This window comes from Homo sapiens, chromosome 22 (genome assembly GCF_000001405.40).
Source record: "Homo sapiens chromosome 22, GRCh38.p14 Primary Assembly".
Taxonomy (NCBI): domain Eukaryota; kingdom Metazoa; phylum Chordata; class Mammalia; order Primates; family Hominidae; genus Homo; species Homo sapiens.
The window spans coordinates 46938698-46964328 of NC_000022.11; the positions used below are offsets into that span (position 1 = coordinate 46938698).

The window sequence follows — 25631 nt, forward strand, 5'->3', positions numbered from 1 at the left end:
GCCTCAGCCTGCAGGGTAGCTGGGATTACAGGCACCTGCCACCATGCCTGGCTAATTTTTGTATTTTTAGTAGAGATGGGGTTTCACCATGTTGGCCAGGCTGGTCTCGAACTCCCGACCTGAGGTGATCCCCCTGCCTCAGCCTCCCAAAATGCTGGGATTACAGGCGTGAGCCACCACAGCTGGCCAGTTATTTCTCACTATGGTAGAAATGGACTAAAATAATAGAATGGGAGAATAAGAGATGGCATCAAGAATCATGTGATAGTGGAATAAACCATATCTTTTATATGATCCTTGAATTTTCTTACTATGTTACCCATATGATTGCATTATCTTCCAAAAAGGTGTGAAAACAATCTGGAGACACCATTTTTGAAGTCTGTTTTTCTTTTAGCTTTCATTAAGCACAGAGAATTTAGAATTTTTTATTTTTCACTTGTAATAGCAATGACAGGAAAATTGGCAGAGGAAGACATTTCACCATTATTAAATGAATCAGAAGATGAATGCAGACAGATTGAGAGCAGCTCTCTAGATGCTAATGATGATGGTGAAATTGATCATATCAGCGAATTCGCAGACTGTGCACCTTCAGTGGAAGATAGCTTAGATGAATTTTCTTAAAATCAAGCATCAACGAGTGAATAGTATTCTAAGGATATGAAGGGAATATGGTTTCTCATCCAATTAGTCATTCAAAAGGATGGGCTTTATCACACAATATTTTATGACAAGAATGTGGACCATCCCCTTTTGTTAAACAGATAAGTGACAGTATTCTTTCATCTTTTAAGACGTTTATGGACCAAATTTGGTACACTTAGTAAATGGATAATTGCTAAAAGCAATCAAGAGATAATTGGAAGGAAATAGAGGCAGAGATGAAAATACCCATTGGCTTGGTCATTGTAATTGATGTTCATAAATCTAAAAAGGAAAATCTTCTCCCATTTTGGAGCATAGAAGATGACTGTCTTCGACAAAATTGTAAGCCATCAAAATTATCAAAGAGACTATGTTTTGACAATGAAAATATGGGAGAAATGACTAGAAGTAACGAGGAGCTAAAACCGATTAGAGATGCATTTGACATTTAGAATCACCGTTGCGTTTCAACAACATCAGTGCAAGAAGAACCCAAAGCAGTGACAAGAGGGGACCTATGAGAGAGGAATTGGAAAGCTGGCATCACTGCTTACAGATGTGACCCAGGCTCAGTCATGACAGTTGATGAGCAGTCGTTTGCATTCAAGGGATATTGCCCATTTTAGATCCACTATACAGGCATACTTTGGAAATATTCCAGATTTGGTTCCAGACAACTGCAAGAAAGGGAGTACTGCGAGAAAGTCACACAAATTTTTTGGTTTCCCAGTCCATATAAAAGTTATGTTTTGTACTATACTGTCATCTATTAAGTGTGCAATATATGTTTCAAACAGCAGCATACATACCATAATTTAAAATGCTTCCTTGCTAAAAAATGCTGACACAAAGACACAAAGCATGTACATGCTGTTGGGAAAATGGCACTGATGGACTTGCTCGACGGAGGGTCACTACAGACCTTCAGTTTGTAAAAAATGCAGGATCTGTGAAGCACAATAGAGCAAAGCACAATACAACAACGTGCATGAGTATATATATATACACACAGTCCACCCTTGAACAGCATGGAGGTTGGGGCACCAGCACACATATATATGTATATACACAGTCCACCCTTGAACAGCATGGGGACTGGGGCACTAGAATATATATATATATATGTATGTATGTATATATATACACACACACAGTCTACCCTTGAACAGCATGGGGACTGGGGCACTAGAATATATATATATGTATGTGTATGTATACACACACACACACATGCACACACACAGTCCACCCTTGAACAGCATGGAGGCTAGGGCACTAGCACACATATATATGTATATACACAGTCCACCCTTGAACAGCATGGGGACCGGGGCACTAGAATATATATATATATGTGTGTATGTATATACACACACACACAGTCCACCCTTGAACAGCATGGAGGCTGGGGCACTAGCACACATATATATGTACATATACAGTCCACCCTTGAACAGCATGGGGACCGGGGCACTAGAATATATATATATATATATGTATGTATGTATATATACCACACACACAGTCCACCCTTGAACAGCATGGAGGCTGGGGCACTAGCACACATGTATATGTATATACACAGTCCACCCTTGAACAGCATGGGGACTGAGGCACTAGAATATATATATATATGTATGTATGTATATATACACACATACACAGTCCACCCTTGAACAGCATGGAGGCTGGGGCACTAGCACACATATATATGTATATACATAGTCCACCCTTGAACAGCATGGGGACTGGGGCACTAGCATACACACACACACACACACACACACACACACACACACACAGTCCACCCTTGAACAGCATGGGGACTGGGACACTAGAATATATATATATGTATATATGTATACACACACACACACACACACACACACACAGTCCACCCTTGAACAGCATGGAAGCTGGGGCACTAGCACACATATATATGTATATACACAGTCTACCCTTGAACAGCATGGGGACTGGGGCACTACAATATATATATATATAGAATATATATACAGAATATATATACAGAATATATATACGGAATATATATACACAGAATATATATACGGAATATACACGGAATATATATACACGGAATATATATACGGAATATATATACACGGAATATATATACGGAATATATATACACGGAATATATATACGGAATATATATACACGGAATATATATACGGAATATATATACAGGGAATATATATACGGAATATATATACAGGGAATATATATACGGAATATATATACGCGGAATATATATACGGAATATATATACGCGGAATATATATACGGAATATATATACGCGGAATATATATACGGAATATATATACGCGGATTATATATGCGGAATATATATACGCGGAATGTATATACGGAATATATATATGCGGAATATATATATACGGAATATGTATACGGAATATATATAGAATATATAGAATATATATAGAATATATATAGAATATATAGAATAATAGAATATATGTATAGAATATGTATAGAATATATGTGTATAGAATATGTATAGAATATATGTATATAGAATATATGTATATGTATATGTATGTATGTATACACACACACACACACACACACACACACACACAGTCCACCCTTGAACAGCATGGGGCCTGGGGCACCAGCATACATATATATATATATATATTATATATATATATACACACAGTCCACCCTTGAACAGCACGGAGCCTGGGGCACTAGCATACGTATATAAATACACAGTCCACCCTTGAATAGCATGGGGGCTGGGGGCACCAGCATACATATATATACACACAGTCCACAGTCTTACAGGACTAGGCAGGCTGCCCGGCATGTGGTTCGTATTAGGTATCAGTGATGGAGCCAGCTTTGGTTTTTTTTGTTTTAACTTTGTATTGAGGTGCTTTTTCATTCTGAGCAGTAAATAGGAAAAAATCCTGTTCTGTATTTGGGTGAAAAGCTTAGCTTTATAAAGCTATCTTAATGACTTCACAAGGCCCCAAGCTTCACCACTCCTGTTGGTTTCTTTGGGGAAGTTTCAGTGACTTCCGTGGGTAATTAGACATGGCTACTCTGGTCACAGCGTTTCAGCTGCTTAGCTATGCCGCTAACGTCACGTGTCGAAGTTTTTACTTCAGTAATAAGAATTGTATAGTATTCAAGAAGGATTCAAACCGCGTTAATATTAAAGAGCTTTTCGGATCCAGAAAGTGCCTGCGAATCCCTTCTGAGTGTAATTTATACAGCACATGTCAATTAGGAAGAGGGCTGATGTGCGCTCGGCCACCAGTCCACGGAGGCCCCTCCAAGCCGGCTTCAGGAAGTGCCTCTTCCTGTAGCAGTCACGTCGCCAGGCCTCCCCGAGGGATCCTTGCTGAGAAATCAGGCTTTCTATTACTTTGCTGTTCTAAATAGACCTGTGTCCCAAATAGAAAGGAAAAATCAATTTAATTACTTATGAAACTTTTCCTTAAGGGTGAATGAATTAGGAGGAAAAGATGAAGTATCTGTATTTCAGGGCTTGACTAGGAGAGAAATTAATTTCAGTATGAAGATGAGGTGTGGGCCGGTTGGTGAAAGCAGAACATGCTTGCACACGGAGGTGCGTCACCCAGGACCGCAGGGTGGAGCAGCTTTGTGCTTCTGGGACCAAACGGGAAATGAGCTGGAGGACCCGTGGCAGCAGGAAAATGGCGTTGAACAGGAGCCAGAGGACTTCCGCAGGTGTCAGTGCAAAAGAATTATGAAGGAGGAGAGAGCTAATTGCAATTAATGTAATTATGAAGAGAGAAATGTCCTCCGAAGGGAGCTGCCCGCCTCACTTTTGGCTTATGCTCTCCTCCCAGCCTCCCCGCGGCATCCATCTCGGTGTAATTAATGAGCCTCCTCTCCCACTCAGAAGCCAGGAGGTGGTGGAGTTGGACTGGAGGCTGCCCAGCTGTCCTAGCCGGGGGCAGAAAGCAACCTTGTGTTTTTTCCGCACATGATAGACCTTTGCAATATGTCTGCTTTTGTAAGAACAGAATTTAAAACCCAAGGCAGACAAAGAATTTGTGTTTTAGCTGGTGAGGCTTTAAACGTTCAACCTTGAAGGCTGTAAGCACAGAGTAGCGGCATGGGCTGCTGGTCCGCCAGGACTGGAGCATCGGGGACTGTGCCTGGAAAGGGGAATAAACCCCTCCTCTCTCCTACTTGTGTATTCCGCCTGGTCCATCTGTCTGTCTCCCATTTAATGCGTATAATTCAGTGGTTTTTAGTGTCTTCACAGAATTGTGCAACAATTGCCACACTCTTGTTCCAAGACATTTCATCTCAAGATGAAACCCTGGTCCCTCCAGCAGCCACATGACCTTTCCTCAGCCCCTGGTGACCACTGATCTGCTTTTCGTCTGCATGGATTTGCCCTTTCTGACATTTCATGTTATATGTTCACAGCATCCTACGGCATGTGGCCTTTTTTGATTGGCTTCTTTCATTGACCGTAATGTTTTTGAGGTTCGCCGGTATTGTAGCACGCGTCAGTACTCCGGTCCTTTTTATGGCTGAATAATATTCCATATAGACCACGTCTTGTTTATCCATTCATCAATGGATGGACATTTGGGTTGTTTGCACTTCTGGCTATTATGAACAGTGCTGCTGTAAGCATTTAGTATAGTTTCTATGTGGGCATGATTTTATTTCTCTTGAGATATACCTAGGAGTGGAATTGCTGGTTCATATGGGAATTTTACCTTTTACCTTTGAAGAACTGTTTTCCAAAGTGCCTGCTCCATTTACCATCCCATCAGCAAAGGAGGAGGGTTGTGTTTCTCCACATCCCTGTCAGCACTTACTATTGTTTGTGTTTTTATTTTAGCCATCCTACTGGGTATAAAGTGGTAGCTTGTTGTGTTTCTGTTTGTATTTCCTGGATGATTACTAATGTGTTTATTTTTGTTTTGTTTTTTCTTCATCGGCAATTACATTTGATACTGATTGGATTCACTTAAAAATTTTTAAACTTTAAATCTATTTTACTTGCATTAAATTCTATGCATTCCTCTTTTTTTTGAGACGGAGTCTTGCTCCGTCTCCCAGGCTGGAGTGCAGTGGCGCAATCTTGGCTCACTGCAATCTCCGCCTCCCAGGTTCACGCCATTCTCCTGCCTCAGCCTCCCAAGTAGCTGGGACTACAGGCGCCCGCCACCATGCCCGGCTAATTTCTTGTATTTTTAGTAGAGATGGGGTTTCACCGTGTTAGCCAGGATGGTCTTGATCTCATGACCTTGTAATCTGCCCACCTTGGCCTCCCAAAGTGCTGGGATTATAGGCGTGAGCCACCGTGCCCAGCCTGTACTCCATTTTTTAAAAAATAAAACTTTTCATTCCATGCTCTTTGATCTATTATAACTTGAGTGGAATTGGTCTCACATTTTATACAATGAAGATACTTTTATTTTATCGTGATTACTCTTTTGCCTTTTTTGTTGGTTAGAGGAAAAAAGAATCCTTAAAGATGAGTGTGAAAATTTGATTTATTTTTTAATTCACAAAAGCTGAAAGTTGAACATGTAGATGATTTTTCTTTTAAGATAGATAATTAAATATGTATAGATTATCTCAATTTCTGTCATCTTGTGCCTGAGAGATTGAAGGAAAATCTGGAAATAAGAGGCAACCACTTCAAACTTTGCAACTTCATGCATTTAGCAACTGAGCCACTTCCAAATCTGTAGTTTGGTCATGACCTTAGTTCTTAAAAGTCAGAGTGGAATCCTCATCTTCTGGTCTCCTTGGATTTTCAGTTCAGTACCACAAACTTTTGAAAAACTACTGGTGGGTTTTTGAAATGCCAGATTGTGTGCCATGATCTTTGCTCTTAGGCAGTTTAAATTTCGGGAGGGATACATGGCAATTTATTGTATTCATTCACTCATTCATTCAGCGCTTATTGCTGGGGGCTGTAGAAACAGAGGTGATGAAAATTAGAAGGCCTGTTTGACCGTTGTGGTGGAGGCGGCAGCTGACGTTTATTTAGCACGTTGTTTCTGAAGCTTTTAAAGAACTTTCCTTGTTATTATGTCTTACTAATTCATGAAGATGATGCTGTTATCACCCCTGTTTTACAAGAGATTGAATAACTTGATCAAGGTCTCAGAGCTACTGAGGGTCTGAGCCAGGATCCTAACCCAGGCTGCAGCTGTGCTGACGGCATTTCTCGTTATGGGGAAAGGTGTGACCAACTAGCTGACATCAGAAGCCCCAGGGGGTTAAGGCTGTGTCCTGGGGTCTGCATTTGTCTCCCAGCCTCCGAGTCCTTCTGCCCTTTCCTCTGTGGGCCTGTACAGGAGCAGGGTTCCCCCCTGGTTACCCTCTGTCAGGGCACACACTTTGCTGATGCAATATTACCTGCCTCGTGCCTTCCTTGGGTTTGGTAGTATGATCCTTCTGTAGAGGCGGGTCGAGGCACAAAGAAGGAAATAACTCATCCACGGCCCACAGCTCAAAATAAATGGCAGTGAGCTTCATCCTGCTGACTAGTATTTTGTACCCTTTTCTTTAGAACTTACTTTTCTACTCAATGCTGCAGAACTGGGACCCCAAGTACTTTAGAATAATTTTTATCAGCGGCTGAAACAACAGTGACATTCTGTGTAATTCTCACTCTGGTTGGAAGAAGAGGTTTTAGGAGCCTTGTGATTCTGCACAGTATTGGCTCTTATCGTTTCTCCCTTAAAGGTGTGTGTACACAGCTTTCCAAAGGGAGGGAATGGAGTGTTGCTACCAGCTTCCTCCGTGTAGGTTCGTTTTCTCTTCCGGACGGGCCAGCATAAGCTTGTGCACCGTAGGAGCTGCTGGCCTCATCCAGCCGGTGTGACAGTACCCGCTTGGGCCTGTGTGGCTGAACTGAACCACGTTCCCATCCTTGGCTGCACAGAGGATGCTGTGTGGAATAGAGCTGGCCAGCACACACAGGCTTCTCCCACCAGGCTGTAAGAGGTTGCAGGAGAAAGGTGCCCCTGACGAGCAGAGGCCTTGGTGCTCCCTGCTCCCCCTTGTTCCTTCAGGAGGCTGGTGAGCCTCAGTGACTCTCCTTCTTGTCTAAAGGGTGGCACTGGGCTCACAAGCAAGTAGAAGCCTGAGGCCGGCCAGCCAGATGGAGAGTAGATAGAGCTGTAAGATCCAAGGGCACAGGTGGCCGCCTCACTGCCTCATCCACAGAAGCACTGAGTAGGTGCACAAGGAGGGCCTCTGGGACTGTGCTTGCGTGAGTCCCACGGCTGTGCGGGCACTGGGCTCCTGTTGATGACTGAGTTTCCCAGGCAGTTTTCATTTTGAGGTGAGTCTGTTTCATTCATTCAGTCACAGCATCCTCAGCTGCTGTTGCAGCAAGTCTGTGCTACCTGGAATGAGCCTGGGGCCCCTTCCTCTAGGTTGGTATTCAGACCAGCGTGCTTGACTGCATTAGGAAGTGCATTCTGAGCAAACCTCTAGAGGTTTCTTTGCAACCTGATAACACCTCCTCCTACTTGTATGTTGGCATTTTATGTCTCCAGTAGGTTTTAGGGAGAGATTTAAGCTGCTCCGTCTTTCTGGGATGTTTGTAGTACAGTCCAGTTGTATAATTTCAGTGGCCTGAATATTGAGCCGTGGCCTTCTCCAGGAGGAGCAAGTCTTCATCATAGGATTTGAGGCCGAGGGGTCTTTAGAGACTGCCAGGCCCAGCCTCCCCAGGCCACACCGTTATGTGGATGAGGTGATAGAGCTGTGTGCTGCCTCTCTGAAGAGTGCTGTGAATCGGTAGAAAGAAATGCTAATAGGTCCCCAGTTTGAATGGGGAAAACATTTGCTGTATCAGCTGATGGACCCTAAATCACCCACTTTCTGTGGGTTTTGTTGTTTGGACATGGTTCTTGGGTTCTTCTCAGTCGCTCTGTCTGGACCCAGATGTGTGAAGTCGAATGGCTAAGGGTGGTTGAAGTCAGGGTCATCCGAGTAGAGCCATTTGTTCTTAGTTAAAAAGGCCCAGGCCACATGGGGCTCAGTGACTTAGCGCTGCGCATTAAAGGTGGACGGTTGGACGTTTGAGACCCTTCAGTCCTCCACCGTCATCTAACAGGTGGGGCAATAAGGGCCTAGAACCTGCTGAACCTGCTGGTGGGACAGAGGCAGGTCTATAGCTGCCCCCTCCAGGCCACCACCATCTTCGTTGCGCTATTTCAAGGCCTCGTGGAAGCCATGGGCTGCTGCTCCCGCTTGTCTGTGTTGTGTTCGTCTGTGTTGCACGTCCTAGTTTCTTTCATACATTCCCTCTGGCCCTTGCAAGTGTGATCTCTCCCTCCTGTCTCCCTCCCTTTCTCCCTCCCTCTTCCTCCCTCACGCTGTTGCCAGGAGTGGGAGGTGGCAGAGACGCCTGCCCAAGGAACCTGGCCAGAGATATCATGAGGACTGCCTGGCTCTCCATATCAACCTGTTCAGTAGTCTGCCTGTTCTTTCTGAGGATTCTGTGGCCACCTTTCCATTCTGTTGCTAACTTTGGGGACCTGTTTGTTTAGCTCTTTCTCATCAAGAGAGATTCAGAAAAATTGCCAGGGCTTTTAGAATCCTGCCCTCACCTGATAAACTCGCCTTTTAATGCCAGCTGTGAATGAGAGAAGGACGCTCTTTGTACACTTGCATAAATGAGGTGCTCTGAGCTACGTTGGGTTGTCTAGGAAACATGCCTTTGGAGGGCGGCAAGGACGGAGGGCTGGGGTATTAGAGGCGAACAGGAGAGATTTGCAAAACAAAGCAAATAAAAACAAACCTGCATATCTTCAAATAAAACATTTTAGCTGAAAGAGAGAAAACAAGAAATCAAAGCCCCTTAAGCAGGAAAGATTTTCATTTTCATTTTCAGTCTTAAATTGACAAGTAAGATGGCATGCAGACCTTTTTCCCCTTTGTTCTACGCCAGAGCAAGACTTTGTTAAAGAAACAGTATTAGAGTTTCCCACCAACTCTTGACTGCTCACCATTTAAGAGTCATTTTTATACAGGGTCATGCCTTTGTAGTCAAGAGCCTACATTCTTGGTAATGCCCTTTGAGATTTTCCCACATGCTGGGTGCCCATGGGGGTAGAGTCTCCTCCACCAAAACCTTGGTTGCAGTCATGAGCTTTGCTCATCCCCCCACGGTGGGTTTCTCACTCCGGGTGTGTATTGGTCGATAACCCTTTGAGTCTCTGGAGTTGGTCTCTCTGTGTTCCGTGGCAATGGTTTGTGCTCAGCTTGGTTTGGGAAATCTTTGATGCAGCACAGAAGCTGTCTTCCCTCTTTGGTCTTTGTCCCCGTGGGGCAGAAGCTGCAATTTCTCAAGAAGAAAGAAATGATAGTTGCTGAAACGGAGCCTGCTCCTATTGTTAAGAGGCCCCGTGAGACAGGTAAAGACCGTGCCTTTCTCCACAGAATCAATTTCATCTTGTAAGCACGGCCAAACAGAAACATGCTACCGAAGTCAGAAAATCAGAAAATCAGAAAATCACCGGAGAGGCCCGTCACACACATTTACCTTATGCAGACTGAACACTATGTGCCGGGGGTGAGAGCCACACAGGTAGATCAGCCTGCTTCCAGGCACGGGAGTTCTGTCTGCCTTTCGCTGAGGAGCAGAAGCCCTGTGGGAAGCAGGAGTGGAGCGCCACTTCTGAGTGAGGGTCACTCATTTCATCTGATGTTGGGAAGAAATGACAGTCTGACCCAATGAGGGAGCACAAATTTGGGCTCCTAAAAGAGTCTTTGTTCAAGAGACTGATTGTGTCGCATTTTGCTTCTCTTCCATTTTTGAGTCCTGTCTTCACACCTGACCCTCAAAGAAGACGCAACATCAAGGTCCACCCGAATACCTGGAACCACCATGAGCATGACAACAGCCGGTCACACTCGTGTGGTTCAGGGAGTCAGAGGCTGTGAGTGCCAGAGGGAACCTCGGGATCATCTGAGTCATCCTCCCCATTCTCAGGGAAACCTATGCCAGAGAAAGAAGTTGGTTTTCCGAGGGCCCCATCTGTGATGGAGCTGAGCCTGACCCCGTCCCCCATGTCTGCTCTGATGCTCCCCTCCAGCCCTGCCTCCTGCCACAATGTTTGTGTGGGGCCTTGAAGAGGGCATGGCCTGCTTTAAATGTTCCCATGTAGATCTGGGGTATGTCTGGCAGTTATTCCTACTCGTTTGGTGATAGAGCAAATGGAGGCTTCAGATGGAAGCGTCTGAATGGATCTCTTGTTAGCAAATTTATATCATTTCATCCATCTGCCGACCAGGTATCTCTGCACGCAGGGAACTTTTATTCTTTTGGTGGGGAGAGAGAAATACTAAGTTGGATATTGGCAAGCACTAAGAAGCACTAAGAAGAAAGAACTGAGAAAGGAAAAGAAAGTGTTGCAGTCTTTAATGCTGGCTCAGCAAGGCCTCACTGAGCCGGTCAGCAGTGACGGGAGTGGTGAGCACCATGCGCAAGGGCAGGCAAGTGAGTGCGGAGACTTCCAGGGGGCCCTGAGGCCTGAGCCGAGGCTGCTGGGGCTGGAGCAGCCTGAGCAGGGGAGGGCTGTGCTCAGTGTCATCTGAGCAGCAATGACCCCCATGGGGCCTGGAGGCCAGTGGAGGGACATTGGTTAACGTGGGTTAACATGGCCTTTTTTGAAAAGGGTCGCCTTGGGAACGTACTGAGACTAGGTTGTAGGGAGAAGCTGGGTGGACTCCAGGAGACCAGTTAGGTCATTGTGCTAAGCCAAGTTGGAGTGATCGGTGGTGGCTTGGAGCAAGAGGGTGGTAATAGTGGCTGGATTTGACTCTGGTTTGAAAGTTGAGCTGATGAAAGGGTTTGCTTATGAATCAGAGGAACGAGTGAGAGGGTAGTTGAAGATGGCTCCAAGGTTTATGCCTCACTGGCAGGGAGGGTAGAGTTGCCATTCCTGAGTGGCTGGTAGGAGAGGTTCTGAGTTTGGAAGGATGGCAGGAGCTTAGTCTTGGATGGGTGCCGTTTGTGTGGCCTGTTGCACATCCTAATCATTCAACACTCTTAGTCAAAACCCCACGGGTCTTTACGTTGTCCTCCCAGGCAGTCGTTGATTTCTGCCCCCGTTTTGAGGTCCTTGTGTCCACTGTGGAATGCTGGACTGTCCTTTAGGGCCGATGGCTGGATGGAGGCTTTAGGGCCCACTGGTTCCCACTTTCCTGCCTGAGGTCAGAGCCAGCTGTCATCTCGGAGCTTCATGTTCTTCCTTTCCAGTGTGGACATGGCGATGTCTCATCAGGAAGTTGCAAGGAACAACAGGAGGATGGTGGTGGTAGCTTTCCTAGATTGAGGTATTCACGGTAGATGTGCGCGAATGACGGGTGAGTGTGGAGGAGAATCTGAAGAGGTAGAGAGAGCGCCTTTTACGAACCCTTGCGTCTCCGGGATGGATGTGTGCATGGATAACCGGGGACAATACAAAACCAAACACACCCCACACCTCTGCAGTTCTGTTATTTTTCTCCAGTTTACCAGTGTAGTTTTAATTCTGTTCCTTTTCTCTAGAGAAGTTCCTTATAAATAATCTCCCTCTCACATTCCTTGTAAGTGTTCGGGATATGTGTTTGTCCTGAAATACGTGTGTGAGTCTGCATCCATCCGTAGAAGTGTGTATGCATAGGCGCATGTTTGTGGACAGAAACAGCCCAGCACTTCCGGAGCTTTCAGCTGTCCCTGTACGTGGCATTGGGCCTACCTAACCTTTGCTTCTTTGCCGTAGACTCTCCATCTGCAAAATAGAGACAATCCTTGCAGCTTTTCTTCTCTCTGGGAGGTTAATGATTGAGTGTATGTATAGTGCTGGGAAGCCTTTGAAGTAAAATCACAAAGTACATGTGTATTATTTTTGTAGCTCTAATGGTATTTATATTTAAATCATTATTATTACAATAATAATACACTGGTTTGCCAATAAAACACAAACCACTTCAGAAGAACGTTCTAAAATGGTAGCATTTTCTGAGGCCGGGCAGCAGTGTCTAATTTTGGGCCTTCACAGTCAGTTTCGCGATTCATGTGTTATGCATTTTCAAAGAATAATCAAGAGCATGCAGGATTGCCCGGGGCAGTGAGTACTGAAAATGTACAGTTGGGCCAGTTGTGCTAAGAGAGTGATGGGACATCTGCACGGACATGGCTGTATTTCACGCCAGTTAGGGGCTGTCACTGCAGCCGGCGCCATCTTGGAGCCCTCGGAGCTTGACTTGGTGATAATGCGTCATCAGAGCTGAGCACCTTGTGTCAGCTGTCCAGTTACAGCGAGGTGTAAAGTGGACGAGTGTCTCAGTGATGACTGATGGGTTTTTTCTTTCAGATCCATGCAAAATTCATAAACCTGATTTATAACCAGTGGAATTTGTGCTGCCGGAAGCAGAAGGCTCAAATGCGGAGCTTTGTTTTGTAGGAAATGTCTTTCTTTAAGGTGTCCTGATGCTTTCATCCCTGAGCACATCCAGGTGATGACACCAGAGGCTCTGCATGAGGGGAGACGAGGAAGCAGGTGTACCTGGTCTCCTTTCATCTTGCAGGAAATCCCATTTAGCTTATTGGAGTTGGACCAATGATCACATTAAGAGCAGAAGTCACAGAGCAGGCTGTTTGTTACGAGTTTTGTAAATAAGATGTATCCTGCTGAGCCCCACAGCACAGGGCACGTGGATGTCCACAGGGGGACAGATTGTGGCCAGGCACCCTTGGCAAGCAAGTTCTTACTGAGGTCAGAAGTGACTGGCCTGCCCTGTGGGTGGTTGACACTTTGCAGCCATCATATCCCTCACAGCATGTCCACATCTTTGAAAGCATTTTCCTCCCAGGCTCCGGGACAGCAAGCCTTCCTGGCCTTGGCATTCCTGTGGACCCTGTCCCTCCTCACCATCATTTTCGGCTTCTGTGTGTGCCGCTTGTCCTCCTCTGCCTGGGCTGTTGGTTCTCTCGAGCTTTCTTCTTGACCTTCTCCCCTTTCATCCTGCGTTCTCCACTCTTGCATGCTAGTGTCTTCATTGAACTGTGTACTTAAAGGTCCACAAGTGGCTTTTAGCAGGTTTAGGAGCCTCCTGACATGATACCAAATGTTATATCTCTGTACGTTTTTCTGGATAAAGGAAGCATCGTTTTTATCAGTTTTGGGTGTGGGTGTTGGCCTGCAAGGTTAAGATGTCGTGCTCTGAAATGTCAGCTTTCTAGCCCAGATCTGTGTCCTGAGCTCCACTCCCTTGTATCCACCTGCCTCCTTGCCAGCTCCTTGAAGATGCTGGTACCACAGAGTCCAGTGCTGGAGGCAGAGGCAGCATGCTGTCCCACACCTGCTGCCTTGGCCATATTCTTTGGTCAGTACATCTGCCCAGTCTGCTGAAACCTGAGGGCCCCTGGATTCTCTCTCTCAACCCCTCAGCATTGTTGGTACCAGAGCTGACTCTGTCCCTGGTCACCCTCTCCTGTCCTCCACGTCAGGACCACCCCGTTGTCTCCTGCCTCTGGCCACCCTCTTGCCACATTGCTTGGATGGCCTTTCACCAGGTCTGATCCGAGGGTGGTCTCGTCTTTGTCTTAGCAGCCGAGGTCTGTGACCTTGACCACCTGGTGAAGTGTTTGCTGTAAAGTCACTCTTTTTTCCTTGCTTCCCATACTGCACTCTCTGGAAGGAAGTCACTGTGTGCAGCCCACACTGAACGGGTGGGGGTCATACTTCACTTCCTTGAGGGGAGAGCATGTTCAGAAATTATTTGGAATTTTTTTGCATGAGAGACTTTTCTGTTTTCCACATTTAATTTATCCAATTATTTATATCAATATGAATTTTAAAATACTTCATATTTCGAGTTGCAGTCAATATTACATTATATGTTTTATTGCTCAGATTGATTCACCTTTGCCATTGGATGGTCTTTCTGTTGGCCCCTGGGTTCCATGACACACTCTCATCTGTGTGTGTGTGTGGCCATTTCTCCAAGGAGCCCTAGTTCCTTTTATTGGTGGATTGTATTAAAACCAAGATCTGTATGCCTGGTATGTTCCTTGTCAATTATCTTTTAAAGAAATTATTTAAAAAATGCCTTTCATATTTACCTTCATTTTTATAATTTCCTGTTTTTTTTCATTTATTTTTGTAGGTCTGTATCTACTTGGCCTTAAACATGATTTCTTTTGCCTGAAGAACTTTAACACTTTTTGTAGCTTTAGTTTGTCTGAAAAAACATTTCACTTTGTTTTTGAAACATATTTTTACTGGGTACAGAATCCTGGGTTACCAGTTTTATTCCCAGTCCTTTAACACTGTCATTCTATTGTCTTTTTGTCCTGCATAATTTCGGATTGGAAGTCTTTTGTCATTATTATCTTTGGTCCATGGCTTAGGATTTGATAGAATTCTGTCAAAGTTAGCCAAATCTAATATTAACATTGACTGAGTATTTACCTCTATCAGGTGCTTTGTTCAGCTTAGCTGTGCATGTGTGTGATTCTCCCAACACCCTTAAGAGGGAGGCAGGGAGGGAGGTGGCATTTTTCCATGTATAGGTAAGGAAGCTGAGAGTTGATCAGGTTAACTGATTTGTTGAAGGCCACTTAACTAGGAGGTAGCAGAGCTGTGATGGTCTGATGCCAGAGACAGTCTGCATCTTAACCACTTTATTGAATTCATCCTCTTCAGAAGGTCGAGGATCAGGTCACGGTCACACTAGTGTAGTTAAAATGCTGTTACCACAGTAGCAAGTCCACAGGGCCCATAGGCACTAGAGTCAGACAGGTCCACAGTAGCAAGTCCACAGGGCCCATAGGCACTAGAGTCAGACAGGCCCCAGCCCCAGTCCCGCTCTGCTTCTTGCAGGCTGCGTGACTTTGAACATGTCCTTTGCCTTGCTCAGTTTGTGTTTTACCTCTTAAATAGGTGAGAGCTGCTGTTTGCTTTAGATCAGGATTAAGAAACGTGATGCGTGTATGTGAGTACTGCGGTCAACACTGGGAAGTGTTTCTTGGTTGGGGTGTGCTCATTCCTATCTGTTGAATGAACGAATTGGATTTTGTGCAGGTCAGATACGTTGATTTCCTTGTTCAAGGCGGAGAGTTGTGGGCATAGCACACACTCGAGCATCTTGCCTCACATTTCAACCCCTCTCATTGGCCCCCTCTCCTGGGCTCATCTTTCCAAAGCACAGCCCTCATGACGTCACTATGTCTGTGGCTCCATGCTCTGGGTGGAGAGCAGGAGCTGAGGACGCCGAGCTGAGTGATGTGGAGGATGGGACAAAACAGCCACCGAACGTGGCTGAGTACCAGCGTGTGTTCAGCTGATTCGTTTGGGCTGGAGTGAAATGGGTCATCTACCCATTAGGGATCTAATTGGAAATAATACTGTGCAATTTAATACAGTGATTTCTTAACATTTTTTTAGCCCAAATTAGCAAAATGCTTCAAAATGTTACAGGCAAGTGAAGTGGAAATAATTGAATCCCAGGAAAGGATAAATGGATTGTATTGGAATATTTCAAGGAGGAATTTCTGATCAGCTTAGGAAGCGAAGGGGTTATCCTTGTGATATTTTATTGAACCACAAAATGTTATTTATAACCCATGTCAGGAGCAATTAAACTGATTGATGATTAAGGAAGTTTAATAGTTGAATAATAAGACGCGGCTTTTGAGAGCTGTTTTTTCTCATTCTGGAAGCGTATTTCGTGAGTCTAGTAACAGTGTTAAGGACAGGCCATTGCTATGCTGTGGGGTCATTATGTGGTGGTAATGTTCAGCGTAGTGTTACGTGGTATGTTACTTATAAAAAATTAAAAATTAAAATACCAATTATGTTTGTTTGATTTGTTATTGAAGTGGTTTGTTAATTTTGATTTACCCAAAGCAGGGTTAATTACTACATATTGATATATTTGATTAAAAGTACGCTAACGATGAATAAGAAAGGCCAAACAAAATAAATTATTTTCCACTCACCCTGAATAGTTTCAGAATTTTAGCAGTCTTTCATGTTTATGTAAAAAGGCAGCTTCACACTGGAAGGATTTGCTGTGATTGGCAGCTTCTTAGGCATATGTATCAGCAGAGGCCGTATTTGCATTTTGAAAACAACCTATGCTACTCACCTTGACACGTTTTCGTTTGTGTGTGTGTGGTAGTATTTGTCTTTATGAGCCATTTCTTATGTTCGGGAAGATTAATAAATTAAAATTCTTTCTTTTAGAAATAAGCAGACATGTTACAAAGTAGGAAACACAAATGACTAATAAGCTGAAAAAACCGTCTAACTTCACAGGTAATGAAAATGCAAATTGAACCAATAATGCAGTTCTATTTTTGTCTATCAAATCATCACAAATTAAAAAAGATAATACTCAGTGCTCTTCAGGTGAGGTGAAGTTGACACTCTTCCAGTCTTTTGCTGTGAAACAACCATTCTGGAAAGCAGTTTGCTGGCCACTGAACAGCCCAGTGCCTCCCTGTCCCGAGGACATAGAAGGTGATGTGTGTGAAGGCTGAGCACGGGGCTCCCTGTGGAGGCAAATGTTTGCATGAGTTGAGGCTTGAACCAGCCCAGATGCCCACCGATAGAGGAAGTTTAAAGCCATTGGGTACATTGATTTCTGTGTCGCCCTAAACATGATTTCATAAAAACCTTTTTCAGTATGTGAAAATGATCAGGGTATAAATAAAAACAATAGGACATAAAACTTCATATTTAGTCTCAATTCTGGTTTATTGAAAATGTGTGTGTGTGTGTGAATGTTAGGGGGCTGAATTGCTTCCCCAGAATTCATCTGTTGAAGTCCTAACCCCTAATACCACAGAAGATGTTTGGAGATAGGGTCTTTAAAGAGGTAATAAAGATAAAGTGAGGCCATTAGGGTGTGCCCTAACCCCATGGAACTGATGTCCTAATAAGAAGAAGAGATGTGGGGCCAGGCACAGTGGCTCACGCCTGTAATCCCAGCTCTTTGGGAGGCTGAGGTGGGCACATCACTAGGTCAGGAGATCGAGACCGTCCTGGCTAACACGGTGAAACCCTGTCTCCACTAATGGATGATTTAATTTTCTTTTTTAAGCTTTTCTGTATTCTCCAAATTACTTACAAGTATCATGTAATAAAGCATTATTGGGAGGTTTCCTTCTTTGTCCGTATAGAGAGACTTAGAAGAAGCAGAGAGAAGCCACTTCCTTTTCAGGGGTCAACCTGGTCAGCTCTGAGTTGAAGGCGTTGTGCTGGGATGTGTAGTGCCCTGTCAAGCCCGAAAGTTGAGTGCGTCTCGTGTGGTGTGTGCAGAAGCCTGTGGGCCTGTGGTCCGCCGTCTGTGGGGCGCGTTCCCCTCAGCGTGGCAGTGGTGGTACACACAGGCCACTGTGAGATGGCCGAGGGGTGTGAGTGAGGAGACACTAGGGGCTTTAGGTGAGGCACTTCCTCTGTCTTTCAGATGGAGGCTTAGATTCTAAACCAGCACAGACTGTTGAGCACAGACTTTCCGGGATTTACATGTTTTTTGTGTTGCTGGTTAGGCTGGGGCCAGATCCGGCCTGAACTAAGTTCCAGAAGGGTGTGTGGGAGTCGGGCAGGTAAGAAACAAGGAACCCAGGGAAAGGCTGGGGTGCAGCCAGCCCTGGCAGCGCTGGGCAGAGGCCATGGCAGGTCCCTGAAGGCTCGCCTGTGGAGGCCTTGCTCTGAAGACAGTGGGGAGCCTCGAGACCTTTCTGTTAGAGAGGGACGCGGTCTCCACCTTCCAGCCAGCTGATGTACCCATTGCAGGCACCAGGTGTGATGGGCCAGGGGACCCCATGAAAGCACCCCTCTTCACCTGGGCATACAGCTGTTTGGAAATAAAACAAAAGTCTGCAGAGGGAGGTTTGAGTAGTGCTGTATTAGTCTGTTCCCACACTCTGTAAAGAATACTACCTGAGACTAGGTCATTATAAAGGAAAGAGGTTTAACTGACTCACAGTTCTGCAGGCTTAACAGGAAGCATGGCTGGAAGGCCTTAGGAAACTTACAATCATGGTGGAAGGCGAAGGGAAAGCAGGCATCTTCTTCACAAGGCAGCAGGAGAGAGTGAGTGCCAGCAGGGGAAATGTCGGATGCTTATAAGACCAGCACATCTCGTGAGAACTCACTGTCACAAGAACAGCATGGGGGAGACTGCCCCCCGATTCAATCACCTCCCTCCCTGAACACGTGGGGATTACAATTGGAGATGAGACTTGGGTGGGGGCACAGAACCAAACCGTATCAAGTGCCTTGACTACCAGTCAGCAGATGGGTTGGAACTGGCTCGGGATCCCAGAATGAGGACAGCGTGGGCCAGCTAAGCTGAGTGGGGCCTTCCAGCGCCAGAGACGCCATGCTGGGCAGGCGAGAGGTGAGGCTGTGCCTGGGCTGCTTATGTGAGGAAGCGGATCACACCTCTTGCAGCCACCCAGCACCCAGTTTGCCTCCTCGAGGGGAGGGACGGCCATCAAACAGTGTGCATGGAACACGTTTCTAACAATAGTGGACAGATCCATTTGCAGATGATGGAGGGTGGACTGGAGCTGGGGCATCAGAGGCAGGAGGCATAGGATAGCCCCCTGAACTGGTGATGGCAGAACCCCCACAGAGCACCCTGCATCTCCTGCATTTCTCGGGGGTTGGGGGAGTGATGGGGTAGGCCTGGGGGCTCCTGGAGGAGGGTGCTGCCTGGATGGGGTTTCTGCAGGTCGGGGAGCAGTTACAGTGTTGAGTGTGGCTCTCATCAGGGAGCCCTGAGGGCTTGGCCCAAGGATTGACCGTTTCTTTTATATTTCTACATGGCACCCTGCTCTGGCGGTTGTGACCTCCTGGGAGTTTCGTAGAACCAGGGAGGTTTATTGATCAGGTCCATTCAGTCCTCTATTTGGTTCCCTTTGGGGCTGGAGGTACAAGCTGGCTGCCTGTTCTGAGTGGCTGTGCAAACCTTGTGACCCCCAGCCCCTTCACGTCTCCCTGTGGCTGGGGTCCCAGGGCAGCCTGTATCCTCTCTGCACCGTGGCTGCTCAACCATCAGTCGTTACATTGGGATGGGACAGGGGGCTCGGCATATGCATGTGGAGAGGCCGCCACCTTGTCCACCTGGGTGTCCGTCTCACCGTTGGAGAGCTGGGAGTCCTGGCCAGTTCCACCTGTTCAATGTGTGATGCAGAGTTAATTCTCCAGCCCATCTTCACTCAGCCAGCCTCCGTGTCTACTTGGCACAAGGATTAGCTCTTCATGCATAAGCGTTTTGTAGCAGGGCGTCTCTAGCCCTGTGCCCAGCGTCGGGACTTTTCCCCCAGCTGCTGGAACAGTTTTCTGTGTTCCAAAGGAGACAGCAGGCTTTGCTTCTTTTAAAAAGTTGCTGTTCGACCTTTGCCTTACCCGTAGACTTACTGGATTGGAGGGAATTAGCATTTCTTTCTAGAAAGGAGAATCACTCTGTTTACTTTGAATGTGCTCCTGCCTAGGCCTGCGGTTCCTGAAACAGAGCAGCAGCCTTCTCATTGTCTGAGTACCTTCATGAAATGCATGGAGACACAAGATGTTTTCACGACACAATACACCATGCTCATTCTTCCCGCTGCTTGTGAAGCGGGAAGCTCTCCTTCTAATTCAGTATAAAATGAAACGGGCATTGGCTGTCGCTCACTGAGGTGGCTTCAGTTATGAGAATGTGTGCTCCCGGCCGTCTCTCCTGACAGCTCAGCCAGACAGAGCGTTTCTTGTTGGTTTTCGCTTTCCTGGATGAGGAACTGTGGGGCTTTAGGATCTTGCCCTGTGTTTTCCGTTCTACCCAACAAAAAACTAAAACCAAAGCAACCCCTAAACTACGTGACTGATGGATGATGAGTTTGTGAGGAGTCTGTGGTATGGGGCTGGTGTGAGGGTGGCACAAGAGAAGGACACACACACTTTGGGTCTTGCCTGGACTCAGCCATGGAGCTAGACATGCAGTGTTGTGAACAGTGGGTCCTGACACCGACCCGCAGGTTGGTTGGCGGGGCCAGGTGCAGGTGGTGTCAGGACACAGGGTGTGGGTGTGGCTGCCGCAGCGGGCAGCATTGCCGCCTCCCTATGAGCCTTGGCCCTCTGCCTCTGTGCTGTGACTTTTGTGGTCCCTGGTTTGAGAGGCCTGCTGGGAGTCAGGCTGTTTCCTTGCTGCCACACTGGAGACAGACAGACCCCAGGAGGGAAAGGTCCATTTCCTGGTCCCTTGTGCCGGTGGCCTCTCTGTCCCCTCCCCTGTCCTTCGGCTCGGTTCTGGTGCCCAGGATTGCCATGGACCTCTGATTCACTCTGATTCCGCTTGGTCAGAGCCGGCCAAGCCCAGCCGCGCCTCCTGGCTTTCTGGGCAGCCTGGCACCCGTCAGTTCACTCTTGTCGGGAGGTTTTCCTATGACTTACTGTCAGCCTGGACTTGGCTTTTCCAGACTCCACGTTTTCTAATGACCTGCCATCGGCATTTGCTTTTTTGACATTTACTTGGCTTCTTGGCCCTCGAAACTGACTGGGTTCACTTAGCCTTTTTAGCACTGCCTTCAGACACCTCTGAAAGTCTCCTTTAGCTTTGTCCACAGGCTCCTTTTGAATTCTTCTGGCCCAAACCTGCATCAGCTAAGAGCCCTGGTTCCTTGTAGCAGAGGATGGTGTCAAAGACTAACATCTCGTTAGTTAGCAGGGGAATCACACAGTGGGACTGACTGCTAGTGATGGAGCAGGCAAAAGGGCCTGAGTCTCTTCTGTTACCTCCAATTTAACTAAGTGCTTCTTACCTGCCTCCAACAGGAATGTTGTTATTAGTGCGTTTTTCACGGTCTTTGGTACTGGCCTGTTATATAGTGCCATATCAGACATTATGTAGGAGGTACAGTGTTGGACTCATCTTTTTTTTTTTTGAGACGGAGTTTTTGCTCTGTTGCCCAGGCTGGACTGCAGCGGCACGATATGGGCTCACTGCAACCTCCGACTCCTGGGTTCAAGCGATTCTTCTGCATCAGCCTCCTGAGTAGCTGGGATTACAGGCACCCACCACCACGCCCAGCTAATTTTTGTGTTTTTATTAGAGACGGGTTTTCGCCATGTTGGCCAGGCTGGTCTTGAACTCCTGACCTCAAATGATCTGCCGGCCTCAGTCCCCCAAAGTGCTGGGATTACAGGTGTGAGGCATCACGCCTGGCCTCTTGGCGTCTTTTGGCCCTTTGGCAGTGTCCCCAACCAGGCAGTCTGCTCTGCCACTACCACACAGGCATAGCTGAGGACAAAAGATACCCAGTCCAGGCCAGGCGCGGCGTGGTGGCTCATGCCTGTAATCCCAGCATTTTTGGAGGCCGAGGCGGGTGGATCACGAGGTCAGGAGATTGAGACCATCCTGGCTAACACGGTGAAACGCTGTCTCGACTAAAAAATACAAAAAATTAGCCAGGCGTGGTGGCGGGTGCCTGTAGTCCCAGCTACTTGGGAGGCTGAGGCAGGAGAATGGCGTGAACCCAGGAGGCGGAGCTTGCAGTGAGCCAGTGAGCCGAGACTGTGCCACTACACTCCAGCCTGGGAGACAGAGCGAGACACCATCTCAAAAAAAAAAAAAAAAAAAAAAAGATACCCAGTCCGTAGCTAAGAGGACACATCTCAGAGACAAGAAAAAAAAAAAACAAAACCCGTGCCCAGGACTCCTTCATGGAAGATACAAACACAGATCTTTGAAGCCTCATTTTGAGGCTTAAACTCTTCATTTTCTTGGTAATTAGTGTCAGTCAATTTACTTTTTATCCTAGGCAGCTTTCATATTGAACTCTAATTTCTAGACTGCTTTTGAGTAAACAGAGATATTCATTGTACCATAATATTAAGACAATCTTGTTTTGTAAAAAATCAGTCAAGAACTTTGGAAAATATGGCAAATGATGTCAAGAATCATCCACCTTCCTTATGTATTTGTCCTCAGATTCAATTTGAGTAATTGCTGTAGATTCACACCTAAGTTCTGCCGCAGCCAGCTCAAAGACACCAGCACCTTAGCTCATAGTGCATTTCCGTGTAATTTTGTATTCACGTTACATTTAGCTTTTCAAGCGACTCCAGACATTTCTGAGACCATCCTTAGAGCTTGTATCCACATGAAACAAATACAGAAACTTCAGCAAATGTTCATGTGGTTTTAGTGAAGTTTCCAGATTTCCGTATGGCTTGCAACATTTCATGCTTGCGGCCTTGGTTTTGCATTTTGTAATTCCCATGTGAACATGGCGAAGAAGCTTAAAGTCATTTCTTCAGGTAATTTGTTTGATGGAGACCAGGATTTGAACCCAGACTTTCCATTCAGTAGCCGTTTTCTTCACTCCAGGACGGGGGCACGGATGGCTCTGTCAGGGTTTGAAAGGGACCCCAAGAGCAGCACAGAGGAACTCGGTCAGTGGTCTGAGTGCGGCACAATTGATGGCGTCACCAGCGTCAGAGAGGCATGTGAGAGCCCTGGGGAATTTGCTAGCAGAGAGTATTGTGTGGGTTTGAGTGTGAGTGTGTCTGAGTGTGTATTTTGACAGATTTATCCAGATTGTGTGAGTTGGATTGTTTGGTTTCCTGCATGTTTTCAAAAAGTCACTGCAGGTTCCTGCAGATTTCGTCAGTGGCAGGTGGTTGAACGTACACTTCACAGGCCTCTTGCAAGTCAGCAGGGCTGACTGTGGCCGGCCCTCTGGTCCTGGGGGGAGTGTGCTGTCTGGGAGGAGATGCGGGTGTCTCTAGGATCCCAGCGGAGGACAGCTGGCTTCTGCCCAGGATCGGTGCTCGCCACCTCACTGCCCCTCCTGCTCTGCGTGGCTTTAACTGAGAACCACATGAATCAAAGACGGATTTAAGAAACAGTCACAACTGTGTGGAAAACAGCTAAACTTTACCAGACAATAAAGAATGTGAATTAGATCTCACTGTAATGAGAAGTTTTTACCTTGCCAGTGAGCAGAGCTGAAAAGAAGGTCAAGGTGCTGATAAGGGATTGGTGAGGTGGATGATCTTAGGCCCTGCTGGCTGTAGAATAAACTTCCAACATGTCTTTCACATATTTTACCAATATCTCTCAATAAAATGTTCTGCTCTTTCACCTGCCAATTTCACTTGAGATGTTTGTCTTAAGGAAATCTCTCTGTGTGGATCACATACCTTATAGAGAGAAGAGGCTTACTGGGGCATTCTTTGTAACAGTAAGATGTTTGAAACGATGCCAGCGTCCCACAGTAGGGGTGCGGCTGTGTAGACGAGGGGATTGCAGTTCTGTAGATAATTATGCAGCATCCTGAGGGATGGCTTCAAAGAGCATGTTATAAAATGGGAGATCCCTGTTACAAACGTCAGATTCTACAGGGCAGAAATGCAACTGTAGTCATGTAACAGCTGAACAAAACCTATGTAGAAACAAATTGGGATAAAATTAGACCAAGAGATATCCTGGCTGTGTTTTACATAACGTATCTGTGGCTAATTTCCCTCTTTATTTAGTATTGTGAGTTCCTAAAATTTTTTTTGTGACGATGACTTTAAAAGAATCAGTGCCTGGGCCGGGTGCAGTGGCTCATGCCTGTAATCCCAGCACTTTGGGAGGCTGAGGTTGGTGGATCACAAGGTCAGGAGATCGAGACCATTCCTGGCTAACATGGTGTAACCCCGTCTCTACTAAAAATACAAAAAAAAAAAAATTAGCTGGGCGTGGTGGTGGGCGCCTGTAGTCCCAGCTGCTTGGGAGGCTGAGGCAGGAGAATGGCATGAACTTGGGAGGTGGAGCTTGCAGTGAGCCAAGAAGGAGCGCCACCGCACTATAGCCCGGGTGACAGAGCAAGACTCCGTCTCAAAAAAAAAAAAAAAAAATCAGTGCCTGATCACCTTACCCCATGGTGTCTTGGACATGCCCTATAGACCCTGCCTGGGCCACGCAGTGCTCATCACACTGCCTGCCCTGGGTCCCGCAGTGCTCATCACACTGCCTGCCCTGGGTCCCGCAGTGCCCAAGGCTGGAAAGGCCCAGGGAGCCTTCAGAGAGCTCTCAGGCCTCCACGATTGTGTGGTGTTCTGCTTTCTCCCGGCCAAGTGTATTGGCTCTGAATGGAGCAGGCCCTTGTTCCTGTGCCTTCCCCAGCTCCCAGCGAGCACTACACATATTGTTCAGGAAAGTAGAAACCTTGGCAAGTATAAAACCCAAGAGACAGGCCATCTTGGAAGCCTGAGAAGGCTCTTCCTTTCTTTTCATCCTTGAATCAATGGTGCACAGGGCAATTTGCAGGCATAAGGTGGGATCCTTCTCCGGGCCCAGGTGCCACTCCGGGCAGGACATGGGGTCTTTGGGCTGAGCAGGCTCTTCTGCATTCTGGGGCCGTGCACCTCCCCTCCCGGCCTCCAAGCTGTATATTGGGGAGGACACAGTGTGGCTGGTGCCGTGGGCAAGCTTCTCCAGCCTTTGCCTCAGCAGTGGGGAGGCAGGCGCAGGAGCAGGGCATGGGCCCACAGGGACACCTGTTATCTGAAGGCTCTCGGGAGCTGGCTGGCCACTGTTCCTTCTATGTGCTCTGATCTTGGGTCCAGCAGGAGCGATGCACGTTTTCATGGGGTGCTGAGATGTTCACTTGTGATAACAGAGCACCAGGACTTGAGTGTGGGCAACACAGCTGCCTGTTAGTGTGAGGGCCGGGCTCCTGCCCCTCCTTGGCTGCCAGCGGCGTCTGTTTGATTTTCTGGCAGGTGCACAGTAATTGGCTGTGCACTTGTTGGAGCCTTGGTTTCATGCTGCTCTGTGTAGGAAGGCTGGGCCATCCGAAACACATTCTTTGTGTGAAGCCTACTTTAGGGTAGGCATGGAGAACAAGCAGGGCTGTTTGCAAATGATATAGGTATCTGTCACTTAGGAAGAAGTTTATTTGTGGGGCTGTTCTGCAGTCATGCCTTTTGAGTACCTTCTGGGC

General features: G+C 46.6%; 1 protein-coding gene and 1 long non-coding RNA gene across 17 annotated transcripts in view, besides 2 other annotated features; both read left to right on the forward strand.

Moving 5' to 3' along the window:
* Positions 1-25631, forward strand: part of TBC1D22A (TBC1 domain family member 22A) — a 413050-nt gene that overhangs the window by 176048 nt on the left and 211371 nt on the right.
* Positions 3219-17385, forward strand: LOC105369161 (uncharacterized). The gene is made up of 2 exons (XR_938320.3): positions 3219-16965; positions 17059-17385. It is a non-coding gene; the product is annotated as an uncharacterized LOC105369161 (long non-coding RNA).
* Positions 10660-11257: an enhancer, noted in NCBI's record as "H3K27ac-H3K4me1 hESC enhancer chr22:47345253-47345850 (GRCh37/hg19 assembly coordinates)". NCBI's record gives its function as "activates a minimal SCP1, AML or CMV promoter by ChIP-STARR-seq in primed H9 embryonic stem cells {active_cell/tissue: H9 hESC(primed)}" and the evidence as "EXISTENCE:reporter gene assay evidence [ECO:0000049][PMID:30033119]".
* Positions 11258-11853: an enhancer, noted in NCBI's record as "H3K27ac-H3K4me1 hESC enhancer chr22:47345851-47346446 (GRCh37/hg19 assembly coordinates)". NCBI's record gives its function as "activates a minimal SCP1, AML or CMV promoter by ChIP-STARR-seq in primed H9 embryonic stem cells {active_cell/tissue: H9 hESC(primed)}" and the evidence as "EXISTENCE:reporter gene assay evidence [ECO:0000049][PMID:30033119]".